The sequence below is a fragment of the Homo sapiens genome, chromosome X (genome assembly GCF_000001405.40).
Source record: "Homo sapiens chromosome X, GRCh38.p14 Primary Assembly".
NCBI lineage: Eukaryota > Metazoa > Chordata > Mammalia > Primates > Hominidae > Homo > Homo sapiens.
In genome coordinates, this window is record NC_000023.11 from 64842559 (window position 1) to 64853061 (window position 10503).

At 45.1% G+C, this 10503-nt stretch overlaps 1 long non-coding RNA gene across 4 annotated transcripts; it reads left to right on the plus strand.

The window, feature by feature from the left end:
* Positions 1–201: 201 nt before the first annotated feature.
* Positions 202–8491, plus strand: LOC105373239 (uncharacterized). Of its 4 annotated transcripts, none has more exons than XR_938417.1 (4): positions 202–276; positions 496–590; positions 1621–2499; positions 5797–8491. It is a non-coding gene; the product is annotated as an uncharacterized LOC105373239 (long non-coding RNA). The 4 variants fall into 4 exon arrangements; XR_007068259.1 differs by having other exon boundaries at positions 1624–2499; XR_007068258.1 differs by having other exon boundaries at positions 2333–2499.
* The last annotated feature ends 2012 nt before the right edge of the window (positions 8492–10503 follow it).

The window sequence follows — 10503 nt, forward strand, 5'->3', positions numbered from 1 at the left end:
CCACCTACAAACACCCCTTCCCCTTTTTCTACAGCCACTTTTGCAAGGCTTTCAGTAGAACTGGTAAACAGTTCCAGGATGTGGTTAAGACATCTGCCCACCTTGCCTAGCCAAGCTTGCCTAGCTGAGCAGACAAAAACATTTCCAGGAAATGGATGAAACACCTGCAACCCTACTCAGTTTCCCCCACCCCACCCTAGCCTCTTGCCTTATAAAACCCCACAACAGCCTGTAAGTGGGGCTGCCTCCTCTGTTTACAGTGGAGCAGCCCGACAGGTTAATAAAAACTTGCTTGCCCGACTCTGGGGTCTACTCGTTCCTTCTCTTGGCTAACCCTACATTTTGGTGCCAAAACCCGGGAAGGGGTAGGCTCTGGCCGGGTGTCCCTAGAGCATACTCTCTATCTCCTTTTCCCTCCCCCTTTCACCCCCTCACTCCTCCTGGGCTCACTCATTGGGATGCGCTAGAGCCTTGGTTCCCTTCCTTATTTTCCAGCCACTCTCCCCTTCCTGAACCTGCCAAAGACCTGGAGGATTTATTGGACACTCCCATTGTTGGCAACTTCATTCATCACTAGAGTCTACACAGGGGTGAGTAAGAGAGACTCTTGCCATTTACCTGGGACACTTGACCATCTCTGTCTTCCTGAAAAACCCAGTGCTGGGCCAAGGGCTCCCTCCAGCCTCTAGGCCTATGGCTCCTCCATTTGAGTGACACCTGACTCAGTAGTTGCCTTCTGTATACTAAACAAGGCCTGCAGGACTGGGGACACTCTCTCCCACTGTCCTTGCCACTGGCAGTCTCTTCTTCCTCTGCCCCATCCTCCATTCACTATGGGAGCCTCTCAGTCTACTCTGTCTAAAACTACCCCTCTGGGGTGCCTCTTGCACAACCTTAACACTCTCAGGCTTCATTCAGAGCTTCATCCCAAGAGGCTTATTTTCTACTGTAATGTGGCTTGGCCACAATGTAAATTAGACAATGGCTCCCAGTGGCCTAAAAATAGTACTTTCGTTTTCAATATATTCAGGGACTTAGACAATTTTTGCCATTGCAGTGGGAAATGGTCTGAAATTCCTTATGTTCAGGCTTTCTTCACCTTCCATAACTGCCCTTCCCTTTGCCAATCCTGCTCCACTTTCCAAATCCTACTCACCCATTCTAAACCTGACTTGCTCTCAGCATACCCCCCTTCTGTACCAACTGACGACTCCTTCTTTGACCCTGCAGACTTTTTCATTCCCTGGCCTCATCCTGTTCCTCCTCCAGAACATCGTGACCCTCCACCATACACTCCTGCCCCAGCATTGACCCTCTTACCCCCTCTCTCTAACCACCCCACTTCTGATTCTGAGTCCTGTCTCTACCCCTTATCCACTCTCAGACCCAACATGCCCAACAACCAGATCCCATACTTCCCCTCCAGGAGGTTGCAGGGGCTGAAGAAATTGTCCATGTCCATGTTCCTTTCTCTCTTACCGATCTTTCCCAAATTGATGTGTCTCAAGTCCTTCTCCTCCAATCCCAATACTTATATCAAAGAGTTGAAAAGTCTCACCCATTCCTATGAACTTATTTGGCATGATCTCTATATCATTCTCTCTTCTACCTTCCTTCCAGAAGAAAAGGAGAGTGTGGCTCATGGCCCAAGCACACGCTAATTACCTCTATCAGCAAGATCCTTCTAAGCCAGTAGGGGCCACGGCAGTCCCCTGAGAAGAGCCCCCCTGGGAATACCAACCCACAGACCCTAGCTGGGCATCCTGTAACCATATGATTACTTGCTTCATCGCAGGCCTTAACAAAGCTGCCCATAAAGCTGTAAATTTTGAAAAAGTCAAAGAGATTTCCCAGAGGGCAGATGAAAGTCCTGCTGAATTTCTCTCCCGCCTTACAGAGGCTCTCCAAAAATACACCCGTGTATTCCTACTTCCCGAGAAGAGACTATAGTACTTAATACCCATTATATCTCCCAATCAGCTCCCGACATCTGGCACAAACTCTAAAAGCTAAAGAAGGCCCTCAAACCCCACAACGAGACCTTCTCAACCTGGTTTTCAAAGTCTTCAATAATAGGGATGAGCAGGAAAAAATAAATAAGGCCCAATGAGATTGTGCCAAATACCAGCTACTAGCCATGGCTATTTGCCAACCTGGCAATAGCACCCAAGGGCACAAAGGACCCGATAGCAGTCTTCCTCCTGCTTTAAGAGTGGCAAAGAAGGCCACTGGGCATGGGCATGTCCTAACCCATGAGTACCGAAAAGCTCCTGCCCAGTCTGCCAAGAAACAGGCCACTGGAAATCTGACTGCCCTCTTAACCCGCAAACAGAAAAGCCTGGCCCCCCGAGCCACTGTCCCCTCATCAAGCTGAAGAGTAGATAATCACTCATACTCCTGCAACTCCTTGGCCTGGCCACTGAAGACTGACGGGGCCCATGGCCCCAGCACCCTCTGCCATCACTGCATTGGAGCCCAGGGTAACTCTACTAGAGGCAGGTAAGCGGATCTCTTTTTTAATCAATACTGGGGCCACCTATTCAGATTTACCTGAATTTGTAGGACCAACTCATCCCTCTCAAGTCTCAGTTGTGGGAGTTGATGGACTTGTCTCCAATCCCCATGCCACCAGACCCCTGTACTGCTCCCTGTTTAATACCATTTTCTCACATTCTTTCCTTATCATGCCTCACTGCCCTACCCCCATTCTAGGCTGAAGCCTCTTAGCCAAATTTAAGGCTTTTATCACCTTTTCCTGCCTCCCTCAACCAGAGTCTCTCCTGCTCCTTTCTGCTAGTCCGACACCTGACCTCTCTCCCCAGTACCCACTCCCTGCCTCTCTTGTTAACCCAGTAGTGTGGGACAGCACCACCCATCCCTAGCTGCTCACCATGATCCCATCAAAATCCACTTAAAAGACCTCTCCAAATTTCACAACCTACCCCAATACCCCATCTCTCTCACCCACCAAAAAGGCCTGCAGCCCATTATAAACAAACTCTGCTCATGCGGTCTCCTTAGACCCACTCAGTCTCCATATAAAACCCCCATCCTCCCTGTTAAGGAATCAGATGGCTTGTACTGACTTGTCCAGGATCTCCAAGCCATCAACCAGGCTGTCCTCCCTATTCATCCCATAGTCCCTAATCCCTATACACTTCTCTCTCTCATCCCCTCTAATACCACCCACTACATTGCAATTGACTTAAAGGATGCCTTCTTTACCATTCCCCTACACCCTGATTCCCAAAATCTCTTTGCCTTTGCCTGGACTAATCCTGACACCTTTTAATCACAACTCACATGGACTGTCCTCCCTCAAGGCTTCAGGGACAGCCCTCACTTATTTGGACAAGCTCTAGCCCAAGACCTCACCTCCTTAGACCTTTCCCCCAGCTGTCTCCTTCAATGCGTAGATGATCTTCTTCTCTGCAGCCCCTCCCTAAAAGACTCTCAAACTCACACAATTACCCTTCTAAAGTTTCTTGCTAGAAAAGGATATAGGGTCTCCCCCTCCAAAGCCCAACTGTCCACCCAACAGTAATATACTTAGGAGTCCAACTCTCCCCCAGGGCCCAAGCCATGACCCCAGCACAGGCAGCCTTAATAAACAGCTTGCCTCCGCCTTCCTCAAAAAATGAAATTATCTCTTTCTTAGGACTGGCAGGTTTCTTTAGGAACTTTGCCCTCCTGGCTCTCTCAATGAACCTCTAAGCCCCACACATAACATACTTCCCAGTCTCCAAAAATTCCAAACTGCTCTTGTCACTGAACCTGCCCTGTCCTTACCCAATGTCTCCCAACCCTTCATTCTCTACACTGCTGAAAGCCAAGGGACAGCCCTTGGTGTCTTATGACAACAGAAAGGGGATCCTCCTTCCTTTGCCCCTGTAGCCTACTCTCTAAACAATTAGACAACACTGTCAAAGGGTGTCCAACCTGTCTTAGAGCATTAGCAGCCGTGGCTGTTTTAGCTCTGGAAAGAAAAAACTAACATCAAGCCAAAGCACCACCATCCACAGCCCTCACAATTTACAGGATCTCTTCTCCTGGGCTTTCAGCTCCCTCTCTCCTCCCCAAAATCAGTCACTTCATGCCCTTTTTATTGAAAATCCCAAATTCAGTCTTGCCAAAAATACTACCCTCAACCCAGCATCCTTATTCCCTGTATCTTCTTCCCCTCCTACTCATTCTTGCACTGATATCTTGGACCACCTACAGCCACATTTCCCAAACTTTTCCTCTGAGCCTTTCACCATCCCCAATGACCAACTATTAATAAATGGCTCCTCTTCTGGACCCACCAACTCCCTCAAAATTGCTGGATATGCAGTTGTTTCCTTTGACTGAGTAATTGAAGCCAAGCACCTACACCGAAGAACCTCCTCTCAAAAAACAGAACTCATAGCTCTCACCAGGGCCCTAAACCTTCCAAAGGCAAATGAGTCAACATTTATACAGACTCCAAATATGCCTACCACATTCTTCATTCCCATGCTGCCATCTAGCAAGAAAGACGATTCCTTACTGCCAAAGGAACCCCCATCACTAACAGCCCCCTTATTTATCAACTCCTTCAGGCCACCCACCTCCCAACTAAAGCAAGAGTTATACACTGTAGAGGACATCAAACAGGATCAGATGAATCTCAAGAGGGAACAGAAAAGCTGATGAGGCAGCAAAGGAAGCCTCCCTCTTGTCTGCCCCTGCCCCTCTCCTCCTCATTACTCCAGCAATTCAACCTAAGTACTCTCCCACCAAAAATACTTTGCTACTACAGGAGGGAGACTCCCTTCAAGGGGACTGGGTAATCAAAAATAAAAAGCTCACCCTTCCCAAAGAGCAAACCAAAGAAATTCTAACTTCTCTTCAGCAATCCTTCCATATTGGTGCATGCCCCCTCTACCTACTCCTTCATCCTTATTTCTCCTCCCCCAACTTATTCACCTCACTAAAAAACGTAACCTCCAACTGTCATATATGCTTTGTTACTTCCTCCCAAAAGGCCCTCTGCTCTCCCTCCAACCCCATGCATCAGCTACGAGGAACACTTCCAGGGGAAGATTGGCAAGTGCACTTAACCCACATGCCTCCCATCAAAAAAACAGAATTTCTTCTGACCCTTGTAGACACCTTCTCTGGGTGGGTAGAGGCATTTCCTACGTCTTCAGAAAAAGCTGCAGTAGTCTCCCAAATTCTTATAACAGAAATCATCCCTAGATTTGGCCTCCCCCACTCCATACAATTAGACAATGGCCCTAGCTTCATCTCCCAAATCACCCAACAGACTTCTTAGTCCCTCGGTGTCCAGTGGCACCTCCATATACCCTACCGATCCCAGTCATCAGGGAAAGTTGAAAGGGCAAATGGAATTCTCAAAACATGGTTAACTAAACTCAGTCTTAAAGTCCAAAAACCCTGGACTTCTCTTTTGCCCATAGCTCTAGCCCACATTAGAGCCAGTCCAAGAGCACCCTCCTTCCTCAGCCCATTCGAATTAATGTATGGGCATCCCTTCCTCCTACAAAACAGGCCCCCATCTGATTCTCAGTTAGTAGAATACCTCCCCACACTCTCCCTCATCTGCCATCTCCTCCGTGAACAAGTGGACCAAGCTCTCGCAAAACCCCATGAACGCCCCACCAACCAGACTCTCCTACCAGGAGAACACATTTTCCTAAAGACCCTCAACCCAACTAGTCTCAAGCTCAAGTGGGAAGGTCCATCCCAAGTTACTGTCACAATTCCCACTGCAGTCAAACTCTCAGGACATACCTCTTGGTACCATCTTTCCAGATTATAGAGGGCTCCTGCACCTGACCCACCCACAGCCAATCCACCAATTGTCGTCCACAAATATCTCAGCACCCCCATCGGATGAACCCAGCTTCGCCTTACTCATATTTCAGAAGAACCACTTTCCACCTGAAGCTATAAAAGATAAGTAACACCCAACTTAATCTTCAACATCTCCTCTACCTCTACCCGACCATCCATAATGGAAGTCTTTCACTATGCCACCATCGCAATAAGCAGCATTCTAACCATACTCTTTGCAGTTGGATTATATACTGTAGCACCTTAATAGGCAAAAATCCCAGTCACTCTAACCTCTTGCCTATCCATTATCCTCATAACTGGAGTCACAGTTTATAATAATCACCACTCTTAAATGCCCTGTCCATGCCTACATTGCCACTTCACCCTCTTCCTCACCTCTGTTTGCCAAGATAGTTTTTGGTTTTATCCCCAAGCTCCCACTTTCAACTCTCTTTTACAGTGGATAGATGATCTTCTCTTCCAAGGTGCCTTGTGCGATTTTTCTCCAGATGAAATGCACTTCTTTACTTTCCTACTTCCCTTTGCCTGTCTACCCCTTCTACTCCTCCACACTCTAGCTCTCGTTCCCCCACCAATGCCTAACTAACCTCACAAAACCCTAAATCTTACACTCTTAAACAGGCCATTCCTACCCTAGCCAGTGACTGCTGGTTCTGCTTCTATCTATCAACTACAGCTTACACCGCAATTCCTGCTTCAACCCATGGCTGGGTTTTTACTCAAGTAACTTTCCACCCCCATTATGAACTGGGCAGTCTCTACCAATACCCAGATTTACAGTCCTTAATACATCTCTCCAATTCCTATTCTGAAACAAACCTCTCACCACAATAGGGCAGGCAGTTCTGCTAATGTGCCCCTATTTCAATTATCTAGCCCCTTATACCAACCATACCAAGCCAATCCTCAGAACCATAATCACTAACATTTTCTTAACTTCTCAAGCCCCTCTATGCATCCAGCGCCATCACCCCTCAGGTCACCTCTTAGGGCACCTGCCTTCAAATCACTGGAATTTCACTGTGCAACTCCAAGGCCCAATTGACCATATTAGCCTTCCCATCTTTAGGGTCACCATGTACTTTCCTGCCCCCTCCAAAAAAATTAATATCACTCTACTATAAAACATAAATTCAGGTTACTGCAATGGAAGACACCTACCCTGCCTATCCCTTCAACCCTGGACTCCATCTCCCTGTGAGGTTCACCGCCCCCCACCACAAACAAATGTCTCCTAATTCCTCTATTAAACAATAACCACAGCCTTCTGATAGACAAAAAATGGTTTCTCCTCCACTTGGAAAACATAAATTCAGGTTCAACCCAACTGTCTCCCAATACCCCCTTACAGCCACTCAACACAGCTGCCTTAGCAAGCACCCTAGGAGCATGGATATACAAAGACCACAAGCTTACACATCTTTTTAACATACACAACCAATTTTACTTACCTAGCCAAGGCATATTCTTCCTGTGCGGTACCTCCACCTACCTCTGCTACCCTATCAACTGGACTGGTACCTGTACTCTGGTTTTTCTAAGCCCAAAAATCGACATTGTCCCAGGAAACAAAACCTACCTATCCCTGTAAAAACTCAAGTGTGCCAATGCAGGGCCGTTCAGTTAATACCCATCCTAGTACGACTAGGAATGACTACTGCAGTTGGAACCGGAGTGGTCGGGCTTTCTACTTCCCTCATGTACTATTGCTCCCTCTCACAAGATCTTACAAACAGTTTGGAAGACTTACCTAATACTGTTTCAACCCTCCAATCACAGATAGACTCCTTAGCAGCAGTTGTCCTTCAAAATCGCAGAGGCCTTGGTTTGCTCACTGCTGAAAAAGGAGGGCTCTGCATCTTTTTAGATGAACAGTGCTGCTTTTATCCCAATAAATCAGGCCTAGTTCAAGATGCAGTAAAAAAACTCAAAGATTGAGCCCAAAAAATAAAAGAAAACACATCTGCTACCTGGTCCCTCTGGTCCTCATGGTCCCTCAGCTCCTGGGTTCCCTGGCGACTACCCCTCCTTGGCCCAGCTATAACCATCTTTCTTCTGTTAGCTTTTGGACCCTGCTTCATGTGTCTCCTTATCCAGTTTTTACAGGACCACATCAAAACCTTCACCCATGGAACAGTGCGAGGTATACTGCTGCTTCAAGCATACCAGCGGCTTCAAGAACAACCATCCCAAGCCCCCCAAGCCTTTCCCCTTGCACACCGCCCCTCTACAGCTAGAAGCAGTCAGATGATAAAGTCACTCCTCTTCCTTTATCACCTATTAAAGGCTGGAATGTTAGAGAGCCAAGCTACCCCTCCTCCTCCTCCATGACCTTTGCAATACGGTCCTTTGTGACCACCTACAAACACCTCCCCACTTTTTCTACAGCCACTTCTGCAAGACTTTCAGTAGAACTGGTAAACAGTTCCAGGATGTGGTTAAGACATCTGCCCACCTTGCCTAGCCAAGCTTGCCTAGCCAAGCAGGCAAAAACATTTCCAGGAAATGGTTGAAACACCTGCAACTCTACTCAGTTTCCCCCACCCCAACCTAGCACCTTGCCCTATAAAACCCCACAGCAGCCTGTAAGCGGGGCTACCTCCTCCACAGTGGAGCAGCCCAGCAGGTTAATAAAAACTTGCTTGCCTGACTTTGGGGTCTCCTTGTTCCTTCTCTTGGCTAACCTTACGCTTACTTTAAGTTTACATGAGTCCTTGTGTGTTAAATGAGTCTCCTGAAGGCAGCAGATGGTTGGTGAGTTCTTACCCATTCTGCAGTTCTGTGTCTTTTAAGTGAAGCATTTAGGCCATTTACATTCTATGTTAGTATAGAAATGTGAGGTACTGTTGCATGCTCTTTGTTGCCTGCATACTTTGTTTTTTGTTTTTGCTTTTTAACTTGTATTTTTGTTTTATAGGTGCTGTGTGCTTTATGCTTTAAAGATACAATAATTTTGGAAAACAATGTGTGGGTAGAACATCTGTCTGTTAATTGCACACAAAACCACTTTTAATGGGTACAAAGTTAAATTCGGAGGAATAAGTTCTAGCTGAAGTATTATTGGCTCCAAATGATGCTTTGAGGACCTCCAAAGGTAAAAGTACTAATCCATTTGGCCGTTTATTGAGAGAGAGAGAGTAGGGTGACTATAGTTAATGTATTGAATGTTCTTGCTACAAATAAATGATAAATGTTTGAGCTGATGGGTGTGCTAATTACACTGATTTAATCGATACCCATTGTATGTGAAACAGTATATACACCATATTTACAATTATGTATCAGTTTAACATTTAAAAAAACATTTCTAATATAAGTATCTCTCAAACTGTGGATTAACTTCTTGATTTATATTTAAATATGAATCTTGAGGAAAATAGTGAAAATAACCATCTTGATTTAGTGTATTTCTCCCATATGTGAATTGTATATACTTAGGTGAGGACAATAAAATCAACTGAGCTGTAAGCTTAGAATAGGACTGAGGGGTAATTTTGCACAGCAACTTTACTAATGGTACATTGTTGCCTCAAAACTCTCTCTCTCTCTCTGTCTCTCAATGAATGGCCAAAGGGATTAGTGGTTTACCTTTGGAGGTCCTCAAAGCGTTATTTGGAGTTGATAATACTTCAGCTACAACCAAGCAGAATCTCTTTTTTTTTGGAGGACCTCGAAGCATTATTTGGAGCTGATAATACTTCAACTTCAATTTGGAGTTGATAATACTTCAGCTAGAATCTAGTAGAATCTGTTTTTCCTTTGGAGGTCCTCAAAGCATTATTTGGAGTTCATAATACTGAAGCTAGAACCAAGCAGAATCTGTTTTCTTCTGAGGAGTATCAGTAGCATAAATGTGATTAGGAACAAAGTACACTTGATATATGTATGCAATGACTGCTATTTATACAAAATTTAAATCTGCAAATGGATTCAACATGTTTATGGGTTATTAAAATTGACTAATTTCTTAGGTTCTTCATAGTACACATGTTGAAAATAAATGATTGATTAAGAAAAAAAAAAGATATTCTGTTTTGATGTGTTTCCAGGATTTGTTTCAAGATTTAGAGCTCCTTTTGGTAGTGGTGGTGGCTTGGAAACGGTGAATTCGCTCAGCATTTGTTTGTCTGAAATACAACTGTATCTTTCCTTCATATATGTTGCTTAGTTTTGCTGGGTACAAAATTCTTGGCTGAAGATTGTTTTGTTTGAGGAGGTTGAAGATAGGGACCCAATCCCTTGTAGCTTGTAGGGTTTCTGCTGAAAAGTCTGCTGTTAATCTGATTCGTTTTCCTTTATATATTACCTGGTGATTCTGTCTCGCAGCTCTTAAGATTCTTTCCTTCAACTTAACTTTGGATAACCTGGTGACAATATGCCTAGGTGAAGATCTTTTTGCAATGAATTTCCCAGATGTTCTTTTTGCTTCTTCTATTTGCATGTCTAGGTCTCTAAAAAGCCTGGGGAAATTTTCCTTGATTATTTTCCCAAATATGTCTTCCAAGCTTTTAGAATTGTCTTCTTCCTCAGGAACACCAATTATTCTTAAGTTTGGTCATTTAACATAATCCCAAACTTCTTGGAGGCTTTGTTTATATTTTCTTATTCTTTGTTTTTTGTCTTTCTTAGGTTGGGTTAGTTCAAAGACCTTGTCTTCAATCT